At 43.3% G+C, this 15,070-nt stretch overlaps 1 protein-coding gene across 11 annotated transcripts in view; it reads left to right on the top strand.

The window, feature by feature from the left end:
• Nucleotides 1–10,370: 10,370 nt before the first annotated feature.
• ANO4 (anoctamin 4) overlaps nucleotides 10,371–15,070 on the top strand; it is a 411,381-nt gene continuing 406,681 nt past the window's right edge. For all 11 annotated transcript variants that reach the window (XM_011537912.3, XM_011537911.3, XM_047428302.1 and 8 more), the window contains exon 1: nucleotides 10,371–10,657. In XM_011537912.3, coding sequence (XP_011536214.2) covers nucleotides 10,543–10,657 — 115 coding nt within the window. In that variant the 5' untranslated portion in view covers nucleotides 10,371–10,542. The remainder of the gene's footprint in view (nucleotides 10,658–15,070) is intronic.

Here is a 15,070-nt window from a genome sequence, read left to right on the forward strand (position 1 = left end):
AGGTAGGTTCAGGGATGGGTACATTACTTAAGTTGGTCCAGGAAGACTCAGTCTTAGGACTTGCACTGGAAAGGGGGGAAAACCCACTTCTTTTTCTCTGTTAAGGTTGCTGAGAGAATAAGATGAAAAATCCACATCTGCTGAAGGTCAGCATATGACCAAAGTGAGCGCCTTCCAGGAATGCTGCCAGTGCAGAAGGAGAGCCCAGCAGTGGTGAGAATGAGATGAGTTCTGCTGATAGTATTTGAGACCCTGGATTTAGCCACTGGTGGATCCCTGGAATTTTCAATAACCCGAACCATAATTTCTCCTTTTACTTAACCTGGTTTGATCTGGGATGTGTTACCTGTAGTGGTAGATTTCAAAAATAGCCACTAGGTTTTCCCCTCCATGTATTCATATCCTCTTGCTGTATAATTTTGAGGGTCTTTCCACTCAGATTCTGGACCTATTTATATGATTTGTTTTGGACAAAGAGGTGCCCACAACATGACACAGAAGGGTCTTGAAAAGTATGTGCACAGTGGGGCTTGCTCTCTCTTGACACTCTTTGGACCCCTCATCACTGCTGCCATGTAAAGAAGCCCAGGTCACCTTGCTGGATAATGTGAGATAAAATGGAGCAAAGGAGAATTGTTCCAGATGGCCCATCCTGGATTAGTCAGCTCCAGCCAATTCACTAATTGACCACAGATACATGAAAAAGCCCAGTAGAGATCAGCCAAACCTTGTTCACACCAGGAATACATCCCAGCAGTATCATGAGACAAATAAATGATTGCTGTTTTAAATCAGTAAGATTTGAGGCTGTTATACAGCAAAAGCTAACTGATACACTTGCCAGCAAGAGAGTGCTACCAGTTACAACCATGCTCTGGTAGTTCTCCTTTTACACTTTCTCTAGCTCTCTTTAAAACATACTAATTTTGTGATAGTTTAATGCGCCTGTAAGTAGGTACTCAAGGAGTATTTCTCAAATGCTTAAAATGAATAGGGAGACTTGAAAGACACTGTCTTTAGACCCCAGAATTGAGTCCAATGCTGAATATTGTAGGCATCAGGGAAGAGCTAGGAAGAAGCTGAGCATCTTTTCATGTACTTATTGACCATTTGCAATTTTCTTTTGGAAAAAGTCTGTTCAAATATTTTGCCCATTTGGTGACGAGTAGGGAGTTATTTGCCTTGTTATTGAGTTGTGACAATTCTTTATATATACAAGTCCTCAGTAGATATAAGTGTTACGAATATTTACTTTCTTGCAGTCTGGGGTTTGGTTTTTCATTTCCTAAATAGTGTCTTTTGAATAGCAAATTTTATAATTTTGATAAAGTCTAATTTATCGATATCTTATATGATTCATAATTTTTATGTTTAATTTTAGAAATTTTTACGAACCCCAAGATCAGAAAGATTTTCTCCTATGCTGTTTACCAGAGATGTTATGGTTTTTGGTCTTACATTTAAGGCTGTGATTCATTTCAAATTAAATTTTGTATATGGTATGTATAAAGGTAAGGCCTGCCTGCCTTCCCTCCCTCCTCCCTTCCTCCCTTCCTTCCTTCCTTCCTCCCTTCCTCTCTTCCTCCCTTCTTCCCTCCTTACTTTCTTTCCTTCTGTTCTTTCATTCTTTCTTTCTTCATACGGGTGTCCAACTGTTCCAGCAACACTTATTGACAAGACAATCCCTTCCCAGTTGAATTGCCTTGCCATCTTTGCTGAAAATCAATTGAATGTATAAGTGTGGGCCTATTTCTCGATATTCTATTATGTCCCATTGATCTAAGCTTATTCCAATACCACACTCTTGATTCTGTAGTTTTAGCATCTTCATTCAGGTAGTGTAAATCTTCCAAGATGGGTTTTTGTCTTGTAAAGTTGTTTTGGTTATTCTGGGTCCTCTGCATTTCTATATACATTTTAGGATTAGCATGTTAATTTCTACAAAAAGGCCTGCTGGATTTTCATATGTAATGGTGGATTACATAAATCTACAATTCAATTTGGGGATAAGTGACATCTCAACAATACTGAGTCTATCCATAGTCTATCCTTCCATTTAAGCCTTCTTTAGTTTCTTTCAGCAATGTTTTCTAGTTTTAAGAATACATACTTGACACAACTTTCATTAAATGCATTTTTAAGTATTTATGTTATTACAAATGGAACTTTAAAAAATTATTGTTGATATATAAAAATAGAATTAATTTTTGTTCAGTTTTAATAATTTGTGTCTCTGAAGGAATTTGTCCATTTCATTTATGTTGTCAAATTTATTGGTATGAACTTATCATAATGTTCCCTAAATTATCCTTTTAATGTCTGTAAGGTGTATAATAATGTTCCTCTTTCATTCCTAATATTGGTAATTGTCTTCTTCCATTTCTTCTTGATCAGTTTAGCTACATATTTTCAGCTGTATTAATCTTTTCCAAGAAATCGGTTTTGGTTTTATTGATTGTCTTTTTTGCTTTTGTAGTTTCTATTTCTTTGGTTTCTACTGTTATCTTTATTGTTTCCTGTCTTTTACTTGCTATGGGTTTAATTTATTCTTATTTTTGTGGTATCTTAGGGTGGAAACTTAGAGCATTGATTTGAGATCTTTCTTATTTTCTAATATAAGTAATGGAACCTGTAAATTTCCCTCCAAGTGCTGATTTAGCTACACCGTACACATTTTGATAATGATGTTTTTAAAATTTTTATTGTGTTCAAAATATTTTCTATTTTTTTGTATTTGTTCCATGACTCAATAGCTATTTAGAGGTATTGTATTAGTCCATTTTCACACTGCTGATAAAGACATACCGAAGACTGGGCAATTTACAAAAGAAAGAGGTTTAATGAACTTACAGTTCCACATGGCTGGGGAGGCCTCATAATCATGGCAGAAGGCAAGGAGGAGCAAGTCACGTCTCACATGGATGGCATCCAGCAAAAAGGGAGAGAACTTGTGCAGGGGAACTCCTCTTTATAAAAACATCAGATCTTGTGAGATTAATTCACTATCACAAGAACAGCAGGGAAAGACTTCCCCCCCATGATTCAATTACCTCCCACTGGGTTTCTCCCACAACACATGGGAATTCAAGATGACATTTGCCATTGCAACACCCAGAATTTGAGGATGAGATATAAGTGTCTGTTTTCAGGAAAAAAACATACATTGTTTATAAAACATAATACAATAAAGCACATTTAATATGGTAAATAAGATTGGATCTTATAACAAATTTTCTCCATATTAATGCATGAGACTCAATGCAGGGCATGTTCCTCAAAAGCAAATTCTACTTTATCTATTTTAAATTCCATTTTAGGTCTTTGAGGAATTGCCGCACTGTCTTCCACAATGGTTGAACTAATTTACACTCCTGCCAACTGTGTAAAAGCGTTCCTTTTTCTCCGCAACCTCACCAGCATCTGTTGAAATACCATTTAACCCAGCAATCCCATTACTGGTTATATACCCAAAGGAATATACATCTTTCTATTATAAAGATACATGCACTCGTGTGTTCATTGTAACACTATTCACAATAGCAAAGATGTGGAATCAACTTAAATGCCTCTTCATGATAGACTGGATGGAGAAAATGTGGTACATATACACCATGGAATACCGTGCAGCCATAAAAAGGAATGAGATCATGTCCTTTGCAGGGACATGGATGGAGTTGGAAGCCATTATCATCAGCAAACTAACACAGGGACAGAAAACCAAACACTGCATGGGAGCTGAATGATGAGAACACATGGACATATGGTGGGGAACAACACACACTGGGGCCTGTTGGTGGGGGAGGGGGAGGGAGAGCATCAGGAATAATGCTAATGGATGCTGGGCTTAACACCTAGGTGATGGGTTGATCTGTGCAGCAAACCACCATGGCACATGTTTACCTATGTTACAAACCTGCACATCCTGTGCATGTACTCCTGAACTTAAGATAAAAGTTGAAGGAAAAAAAATTCCATTTTAAATTTGGTTAAATTGTCATGAGTACAATCAGTGTTACAAAAGGCTTTTCATACAAGGACAGAATTCATGAATTAGTCTCCAAATCTATCTCACAGGTAAAAGTGTTTTTTGTTGTAAATTGAAGAGAGATTTTCATGACACTTGAGAAATGGAGACCAAGAAGCCAGAATAATCTGTTCTCTTCCTTGAGGTAAGAACTTGCTGTTCATGTTTACTTCTTCTGCAGTTTGTTCCAACTGGTTGACCCTGAGGTACTTGGGAATATCTTATTTAGCCTTTTCTTTCTTTCTTTCTTTTTTGAGATGGAGTCTTGCTCTGTCATCCAGTCTGGAGTGCAGTGGCATGGTCTTGGCTCACTGCAAGCTCTGCCTCCCGGGTTCACGCCATTCTCCTGCCTCAGCCTCCTGAGTAGCTGGTATTACAGGAGCCCACCACCATGCCCGGCTAATTTTTTGTATTTTTTTTTAGTAGAGACGTGGTTTCACCGTGTTAGCCAGGATGGTCTCAATCTCCTGACCTCATGATCCACCCGCCTTGGCCTCCCAAAGTGCTGGGATTACAAGCATGAGCCACCGTGCCTGGCCATTTAGCCTTTTCTTTACCAGTGCACCTTACTTCCTTTCAGTACAATTTATCTCTTTTTTTTTTTTTTTTTTTTTTTTTCTGAGAGTCTCGCTCTGTCACCCAGACTGGAGTGCAGTGGCGTGGTATTGGCTCACTGCAACCTCCGCCTCCTGGGTTCAAGCAATTCTCCTGCCTCAACCTCCTGAGTAGCTGGGATTACAGGTGCCTGCCACCATGCCCAGCTAATTTTTGTATTTTTAGTAGAGACGGGGTTTCATTATGTTGGTCAGGCTGGTCTTGAACTCCTGACCTCAGGTGATCCGCCCACCTCGGCCTCCCAAAGTGCTGTGATTACAAGTGTGAGGCAATAGGCCTGGCCTACCTCTTCATTTTTAAAGAAAATTGTCTAAACTGATATTTTAAATAAAAGGAAGATTTAGAAGGCAAAACAATCGGATGGTTTACATATACTCAACAAGACTAGGAAACGTGGGCCATGGAGTCCAGTTACAAATCCTGGATCTATCCATTACTAGTGGTTAATTAACCATGCTATCCCTCAGTTTTCATGTCTGCCAATAGTGGTAACAATAGTGTTAATTTCATTAGTGTGTGTGTTTATGAAATAGGTGTGTAATGAAAGCATATATATATATGACTTCTAAGTTTTATATTGTACACAATAAACTGTAGCTACTTTCATTGCTATAAATCTGGGAAATTTGATGAGAATATGTTACAAAAACACATAAAGTCTCAAAATATAAACTTGTATCTGCTTCTTTGACATCTTATTTTTTTTAAATAGAGCAATAGTTTAATTGAGGATTTTAGGACATTTCCATTTTGAGAACTCTAACTGAGAGGGGCTAACTGCTTCATATAATTTAAATGCATTTAACTTTGGGATTTTAAAAAGCAAAGGTTGTAATTTTATTTTATCTTTTTCTTCAGATATAGCAAATTATAGCATGGATCCAAGGGGGCTATTATTGTTATAACAAAAGGATATAATATTTAGCTATAATACTCCATCATTATAATTAGTTTTCCTTACCGGTGCATTTCAGATGCAAAATACTTGCTAGCTCATTATATTTTTTATCTCTATTGGGTCAGGTTTACTACTAAAAATCTGCTGAAAGCTATGTATATTAGTCTAAGTTTTCCAGAGAAACAGCACTAATAGAATATTCATATATATATAACAGAGCCAGTGGGATATGCATGTGTATATATACACATATATAATAAATCTCTTTGTGTGAGATTTTGTGTGTGCACATATATATAATAAATCTCTGTGTGAGATTTCGTGTGTGCATGTATATGTATATATGCATATATATTTTGTGTGTGTGCATGTATATATGTATATATAGCTATATACATATATGTATGTATATAGCTAATGGATGCTGGATACATATACATGCACACACACAAAATCTCACACAAAGAGATTTATTATAATATATTGGGTCATGTGATTATGGAGGCCAAGAAGTTCCATGATCTGCCATCTGCAAGCTGAAGACCCAGGAAGGCCAGTGTAGTTCGAGGTCCTGAGAGCCACTGGGCCAATGTTACAGATTCCAGTAAAAGTCTGAAGTCCTGAGCACGAGGAGCATTGAGGGCTTCAGGAAAAGATCCATGTCCCAGCTCAACAGTCGGAGAGAGAGAGGGAGGGGAGAATTCAATCTTCCTCTGTCTTTTTGTTGTATGAGGCCCTGAACAGATGGGATGATGCCTACCCACATTGGAGAAGGCCACCTACTTTACTCAGTCTGCCAATTCAAATGCTCATCTCTTCTGGAAACACCCTTAAAGATGCACTCAGAAATAATGTTTAATCAGATATCTGGGAATCCCATGGTCTGTGTCACAGAAACTAGTCATCACACTATGAATCCTCTTCTCAGAAAAAAAATTATATATATATATTCAATTTTAAATTGGGTTAAATTGTCATGAGTATAATTATCATTACAAAAGGCTTTTCGTACAAGGACAGAATTCATGAATCAGTCTCCAAACCCATCTTACAGGTAAAAGTGTTTTCAGTTGTAAATTGAAGAGAGATTTTCACAAAACTTGAGAAATGGAGACCAGGAAGCCAGAATAATCCGTTCTCTTCCTTGAGGTAAGAACTTGCTGTTCATGTTTACTTCTTCTGCAGTTTGTTCCAACTGGCTGGCCCTGATGCACTTGAGAAAACCAAAATAGGTGTGTATATATAGATGTTTTGATAGATGTATATATATCTGCATATATATACCTATTTCAAATGTAATTTTCAGGTGACTTACGAACCTCAGGAAGCCCATTCATGGGCCCTCTCCCCAACCCTCTAGTTCAGGGAGAGTTTCATGGATCAGGGTAAGAGTTTTCAGGATAAGAACCCCTTTTTTGATGTTTTGTCAGAGTAGACATTGCAATTCTGACATAGTCTCTGGCCCCAGCCAAAGTGTTTTGTAAAATGATTTCCATGCAATAGTCTTCCCTTAGTGAGGAAGATGCTTTTATTCTACAGAATAAAACTCACCCCAATTCAGGCTTCCTAAGCAATGATCCCTTCCTAACGCCTATAATCAAATATTTTTTTCCTCCCATACATTGCTTCATGCAATTAGTATTTTATAGAGTACCCAAGGTGGGCTAAGTACTGTGCTAGGTGTTGGGATAGCCTGAAATATAAGACATGGTTCCTGCTTTCCAGGGGAGGGGGAAATAAATGGATAAATAAATAAATTACAGTATGACGTGATAAGTGTTATAATAAAGATATTAAAACTTATGGGAATATAGAGTCCAACAGCAGCAATATTTTAAAATGTTTAAGTAAACTTTCAATAATGGATCAAATTCTACATCAAGTTGATTGTGGGCAATTGGAAACTAAAATACTTTTCAGATATATTTAAAAATGAGTATTTGCAGAATAGTTACTAAGCCACAAAATTGAAATGAATTATTAAAAATGTTAACTGCAGAGAGTCAGCCTCTTCTACCATCAATACAATGCAATGTTTAAGGCAGTTAATAAAAGTCAGTTTAAGTTCAGAACATGCTGAAAAGGGAAGAAGAACTAGTTTCTCTCAATCTATCATCTGAAAAAAAGTGTTTTCTTGGGAAGATTTAGAACACAGCTTTCATCAAAGTTGTGGCAGTTCATATTTTACTCCTGAAAACATGGAGAATGAATAAAACATAAGGAAATTTGAATGACAAGCTTGTCTTTATGAAATTTTATTGGCAAAATCACAAATCCTGGACCTCATCTTTCAAATGTCACTGCCTTAGTTAAGTCGTGTGTGAATCCTGCTAAGACAGAACCACTTGTTCCTCCTGGAGTTTCTGTAACACCCTGTATTTCATCACTGGTGTCATAATTCTTCCTTAACCTTTGTCCCCCTCAAGAATGTGAGGTAGGTGGAGACCACCCCTTCCCACTGCAGACCAGGACACAGGTAGCGGCTTAAAGATCTCATTACCACCTGACAACACAGATGCTGAGAACAACTGGAAGGCTCTTAAACCCATGAAGGCAGGAGGTTTATTTGTCTGTCAATTCCTCCCAAAGAGGCCAGGTCCCCTCGGTCTTTTATTTATTTATTTTTTTTGAGACGGAGTCTCGCTCTGTTGCCCAGGCTGGAGTGCAGTGGGGCGATCTTGGCTCACTGCAAGCTCCGCCTCCCGGGTTGATGCCATTCTCCTGCCTCAGCCTCCCGAGTAGCTGGGACTACAGGCAGGTCCCCTCAGTCTTAATTCTACTGTGGCACTGAATATCTCAAGGACTTGTAATGGTGTTATGTGGGGACAAGTTCAGGTAGCCTTAAGAGAGGTTAATTAATTAAATGCTACTTTTTGGTTCCTGCTAATTAGAAAGAACTGCCAAGAAGAATTAAAGTGCAATTCGTAACTCATTGTGATGGCCTTTCCTCATGACTCCATCTGAGCGGCAGCGATGGTAAATGGAGGAGAAAGCGCTGGATGTCAGAAGATAAGTTACAAACGGCCTTGGGGCCCAGCGCGGGCATAGAGGAGACTGGGGAAGCATCTCCAGGCTTAGGAAGGGGCACAAGAGGTGGAACAGACTTTAAGACGAGTGCCCAGACAGGGCTGCTGAGGTGTGGGGATGGTGAAGGGAGAACAAAGGCGCTGCCCAGGTCTGGGGGAGGCTTGGAGCGCTTGGGGAAGGCAAGCCTGGCCTGCATCGGCCCCCAGGCTAGGTGAGAGCAGGAGCTGAGAGCAGGAGCTGAGAGCAGGTTTCCCAGTCACTTTAGGCTCAAGGGTGGGCGGTTGCAATTTCAGCCTGGGGTTGGGTAGAGTGTGAGGCTGAAAAAAACCTGCGGGAGAGGCCAGTGGGGCCCTCAAGGGGCAAGGTCAAGGCAGGGAGCAGCCACCAAGACAGAGCCTCAGTTCTGATAGTGTCCCTGTCCCACCAGATCCCTGCAACCGCCCTGCGAGGTGAGCACAGCTGCAATGCTTAGCTCCATTTTACAGATGGGGAAATGGAACCTTAGAGACGGTGTCTTAACCAAGGGTCACCCGGCTGCTGGCTGGCTGACCGAGGGCCAATAAAGGACCAGATCCCACGCTCCCACTATCCTGGGCAGACCTGGCCCTCCTTAGGGGCTGGCTCCTCCTGTCGGCCGCAGTCTCAGCCTTGCGCTCACATGGGTAAGTGTGGGCCCCGACACTACATCCTAGAGCCTCGTCCACCGGTCACCCGCCGCCGCCTGGCTGCCCTCACCGAAGAGTGGGGAGGCAGGCGGAAGCGGAGGTTGGAAGCGCCCAACTCTGACGGCTGGAGAGCTGGAGAGCGCGGGAAGCTTCCCAGACAAACGCCGAGTTTTGTCTCCGCCAGATTTATTTGCCCTCGGTGCCTCCACCCGAGTAGGCGCAACCCCAAATGCAGCTAATGCCTTGACACCATCGCCCCCCAATTCCTCCCGCGCGGGCGTTTTACAAGGCCTGGTGATCACGACCTTCGACCCCGAGCCAGGAGGCCTCTGGGCCTTCCTTTTGGTGTGGTCTCAACTTTACACTTGGGAATGGCAAAGCCTCGCGGCAAGGGACGGGGTCGGGGTTGCACCTGACCCGAGGAGGCGTTGGGCGGCCTTCCTCTTTCCCCTGCTTCATCCCGCAATGGGTGCCACCGACTTATTGGGTCTCGTTCTCGCTCTCCCACTCCTTTCCCTCTCCTCAGCCAGCTGATTCTAGACGGAGACCCAGCACAATAGGGAAGGCGGGCTGAGACCAGCTCGGACATTCCATCACTCAACCTTGTGTGAGCTCGCGCCCTCATCAGATGCTGGGCAGGAATAGGACACCGGTGAGCGCCTCGTGGTAAGACAGAAACACAAACAGAGATGATAAGATGATGTACTGGGACAGGTCTGAACTGTTGGGGTCAGAGTTCGGTACTTAGTAGTCACCGACTTCACTAATAGAAGTGCGCAGGAGAAGGTTGCTACTCTCCCCTGTGCTTTGGTCTCACAGGCAAAGCCTTCTCCAGACTGTCCCCTGGGCTGGGAATCGCGCCCAGAGTCACGGGCGGCCAGACCCACCCCATGTGTTCCCCGGCGCGCTCTCCAGTGGAGCTTCCCTAGGAAAGGAGACCGTCCCGAGAGGCTGTGGCGCGCCTGGGACTCCCCGACCCTTGCCACGACATCCCTGCCACCCCTTTTGGCGTGAACCCACCGGGGATCCCGCCCGACGCCGGCTGCGCTGGGCCAAATCCGCGGCGCGCCTCTGCCGGGCACCTCCCACCTCCAGCTTCGCCCCTCCCCTCTCCCGGCCGCGCGTCCTCCGCGGCTGGTTCAATCCCCGCGGGGACCCGGAGCGCGGCTGCCGGTCTACGCCCTCTCTCCTGCCGCTCTCGCGGCGCAGCCCGGCCGGGGGCCCCCGCGCGCCGGCAGCTCTAGGGGCGAGCGCGGCGCGCTGACTGGGCGTGCTCAGCCGCGGAGCGCCCGGGCGCCGCTAGAGCCAAGCGCATGCACTCGCCGGGCCGGGCCGTCCAGGGGCGCAGCGCGCAGGGGGCCGCTCTAGCCGACGCCCTGGCCAGTCTGGGCAGGACGCGGGCCAGGATGGCCTCCCTCACCGCATACGGTAACTGGGGCCGTCGCGGGTTCCTGGGGCGGCGGGGCGGAAGGGAGGGGCCCAGGGAGCCGTCGAAACACCCGGGGAAACTTCGGGGTTCGCCTCTGCGGAGGGGTCTGGAAGGGAGGGAGACGGCGGCCGTGCGCGCCGCTCCTGAGGGGCCGATGTTCCGCGGGGTTTCGGGCCGCGGGTAACCCGGGAACCGGGTGTCTGCGGGAAAAACGCTTCAAAATTTGGGAGGATCTGGGAGCTTCGGGACTCTAGAAACATTCCCCTCGCTTCCGACCACTCAGGGGAAGGGACGCGGGTGTTAAGTCCTCCTCTAGCGGGGTGAGGCTTGGAGTTGGGAGATGTGCGTTCAGCCAGCGCTTATCTTGTCCCTGACTGACCTTGGGCAAGTTATTTAAACTTTTCAGCCTCTGCATTTCTCCGTCTGTAAATCAGAGAGATGAGAACATCTCTCTGACAGATGCTGTGGAGTTAAAATAATATGCACTGTAACATGTTTTTAATGCAAAAAAAGAAATCAGTTTGGAAATAAAAGTTTATGAAAAAGGAAGGCATTCATCGTTCCCCTGCCCATTGTTTTGTTAAATAAATATATATGAATAGACATATACATATATACATGTGTGGTATTGCATGGTTCTGAAGGAAAACAAAATCACTGTGTGAAGGTTTCAGGCTCAGCTAGAAATCCTAGCGCGCTGGGGAAGCCAGCAAGGCTTCTTATCAACGTTCTTGCTTGTGTGGATAAAGCAATTCTCTTTAGCCCTTTATCAGAAATACTGCTGAGACTTGGTTATAGGAAGCAGAAACTCAAGTAGACCTCCCTCCCTTCCTCTTGCTTGCAGTCAGTTGTTGCGATAAGATCTAGATTTGGCATTTTAAAGGGGAAAGCTGTGAGCAATTGATGGGGAATGTTCTGCAGGGACATCTCAAAGCCTGGGATGGGTGGGACGGAAATTACTATTCTTTGGTGTGGAATCTTCATTCTCTAGGCCAGTGATGTCCCCTGCTCATTTTACCAAGGTTAACAGGGTCAGTCTCTTTCTCTGGATTTAAATTGTTTAAAATGATCATTTAGGTGGCTCAGAGGGTTTGCAATTGATGCCTGGGAACCAGTAACAAATTGTGAGCAGATTACAAATTTCAGTCTGGTGGCCTGTTTTTTCTTTCCTCCAACCCCCTTCCCCCGTGCTCAGAACATTTTTGCTGGGATTTAAGTTGTTCTTACCTGCACGCACATTTAACACTCAACATTGTGGTTCCTGGGTTACCATCTGGGGATAATTCAATATGCTGATGGCATTTTAGGCATATTCATTGGCAAAACATCTATTTTTACACCTTTTCCTATCAGAGGGATCTAACTTCTGTTTTTTTACATCATTTTAGATTTTGTATGCTGCCCCATGGATACTGTCAGTAATAGGTTTACGTAATGATCAGTTCTGTACGTTTCTAGAAGCTTTAAAAGCTTAATTGAGCACCCAGGTGGAGAAAATGAAGTCAGAATAAGTGAAATCATTTTGAAAAGAAGTATATTTCAGTAATTAAAGGAAAAAGGTGGCAGATCTTTGTTTTTGGTGATTAAGAATTACACAGGTTTCTCATTAGACCCTTAAAGAGAACTGAAGCATATTTCAATAAAAATATCAATTAGAATTTCTGCTTGACACATTCTCCTCCTGCATCCATCCCTAAAATGATGCATATACTTGGCCACAAATTCCACGTTAATTCTTAGATCTGTAGCAGTGTGAGCTAAACCATGACAGAATAAATTAGTCCATCAGGGTTTTCAACCTAGTGAACAAGTTAAGGAGAAAAACATTGAGCACATTTAATACATTCTTCACCCACTGGATACTATTGAGATCATTATCTGATGAGAGCTTGGTCCAGCCCTGGAACCCTCCGCAAATCTTCTCTTTGACAATTGAATTCCTTGTAAAAAATGTCCCCTGTCAATTCTGTTGGATTTGGGTTTAGGCATCATGATGGGGGATGATCTAAACTTTTTGCCTGGAATTTATAGGGTTCAATTTTTGTGTTTAATTGACTGATTTAATAAATGCTTTATTCTTATCTTTAGCACAGGGGCTGCCAAGAGAATGAACAGTTACACTGTAGACCATGTGTTTTAGGTTCACAAGATGAGAGAGAAATTTGGCTTATGTAGGCATTTCATTAGCAGCAGCCTCTAGTAATCCTCATTAGCTTCCCTTCTAATATGCATTTCTGATCCCGTTCTTTCTGCATTTTGATCCTGCTCTTTTTGTCTTTTGAGCTTGCTCTTTCCGCATTTTAGTATGAATTTTTACTTTCAGGCCACCATCTAGACTCACATTCTAGAAATGAGAAATGAGATTAGGGTAATCAGTAACTGTAATCCCCACCGGTAAAAATATGTTCAATGAATGATGTTATTTTTAGAATTCTGGGTTTTTAAGGCCTCAACCCTTTATACTCACCACTGACATTTATTTTCTTGTCCTTTAAATGGTTTAGGTTCTTAACCACTTTAACTCATTAAATAACCATGCGCATGAGACTAAGGATGGGAGACAAGTATTTTTTAGAGAGAAATGACTGGGACTTTAATTGTTCTTGGCCATGCAAAGGAAGGCACAGAGGCTGTGTCCCCACCTGAACCAGGAAGGGCGTTGTGGTTAGACTCACAGACCTGGCCTGGACCTGTCAGCCGTGATGAGGCTTAATAAGGAGCTGAAAGAGCTGATAGAGCACAGTGATGGCTGTTTCATATAGGGAAGCCCTCTCTGAGGAGAAACTTAAGCAGAGAACTAAATGAAGAAAAGGAATGAGGCATTCCATTACATGGGGAAAGAGGATTCTTGGCAATGTGAACAGTAAGTGCAAAGGCCCTGAGTCAGGAATGAGCTTGTCATGTTCAAGGCTAGCTAGAAGGTCATTGTGGCTAGAGCAGAGAGAGCAAGCAGAAGACAGGAAGACAGTGCAGTCTGAGCCGGTGTTGTTATATAACTCCTCTCCCCTCATTTTCCTCCTACCTCTTGATTTTTTGTGTGTGGACTCCTTCTGCTAATGCTGATGTTTGCCTGGGTTCTCTCAAACTTTTAAATAATTTGACTCTCAACCATTTGGATGACATTGGTTAGATACCTCCCAGATGCTAAACAATGACCCCATGTGCAGAGTCAGTCTCGTAGTGGGAGACCTGTAAACTGGAGCAAGAAAGTTTTCAGAGTTGTAAGTAGAAGTGTGGGGTGTGCCTGGGCATGAAGATAATAATAATGGCACTTTATGTGAATTAGCTCAGTTAATCTTCACAGCAACTTTTAAGACATTGATCCAAAGTCAGCCCTATATTCATTTGAAGAAGTTGAGGCACAGATAGGTTAAGGAACTTATTTAGGGAGTGTAATGAGAGCTAAGCCTAACTGTGGAATGTGGGAATCAAATGGGGTGAGAAGACATGAGAGCCTAGGACATCATTTCCCCTCCCATGACTTCATCTTTATTCAGGTGACTCCCACATAGAAATCACCAGTTAGAACTTCTTTCTTGCATGTGCTATGCTTGTATAGTTAGCTGCCAGACTATCTGTATGCTCTTCTCTCTTTGTGTTAGCATCACAAACTCAATGTGTCCAAAACAACCCCCATCTTCCTCTCCTGTCCCTGTTTTCTATAGAGTATCTCCAACTACTGAGCTCTAACTATGTTCCAGGCTCTAGCCTTAACCCAGGGTTACTAGAACGAATAAGATCTCCCGCTGTTTCTGTGACAGATGGCAGAGTCAGCTGGAGGAGACAGACTCCTAAATGGAGAATTATAATGCAGTGTTGTAGGGAAGGGCTGGGTAGGGTAAGGGATGGGCCAAAACAGTTTCCTGGAGGAGGAGATTGGGAGAAGGCCAACTGGGAGAAGGAGGTCATTCCAGGGAGCAACAGCAACATGAATGAAGATGAAGGGGAGAAATGTCAGGGGTGTGAAGGCAGCCACTAGTAGCATGGTGCTGGTAGGTGGAACATGACATCTGAAACAGAGTGGCTAGAGGTTGAAAGGGGCCAGCATGCTCTACCCAGTCACCCTGGAATCCTGGAAGTCATTGTGGAGTCCTCCCTTACCAGCACATACTAACAGTGACCTTGAGTAAATTTTTGTTTGTTTGTTTGAGACAATGTCTCACTCTGTTGCCCAGGCTGGATTGCAGTGGCATGATCCTGGCTCATTGCAGCCTCTACCTCCCTGGCTCAAGCAGTCTTCCTTCATCAGCCTCCATAGTAGCTGTGACCACAGGTGTGGGTCACCATGCCAGGCTAACTTTTAATTTTTTTTTTTTTTTTTTTAAGTAGAGGCAGGGTCTTGATATGTTTCCTAGGCTGGTCTTTCCTAGGTGATCCTCCTGCCTTGGCCTCTCAAATCCCTGCTGGAATTA

Source organism: Homo sapiens, chromosome 12, assembly GCF_000001405.40.
Source record: "Homo sapiens chromosome 12, GRCh38.p14 Primary Assembly".
Taxonomy (NCBI): Eukaryota; Metazoa; Chordata; class Mammalia; order Primates; family Hominidae; genus Homo; species Homo sapiens.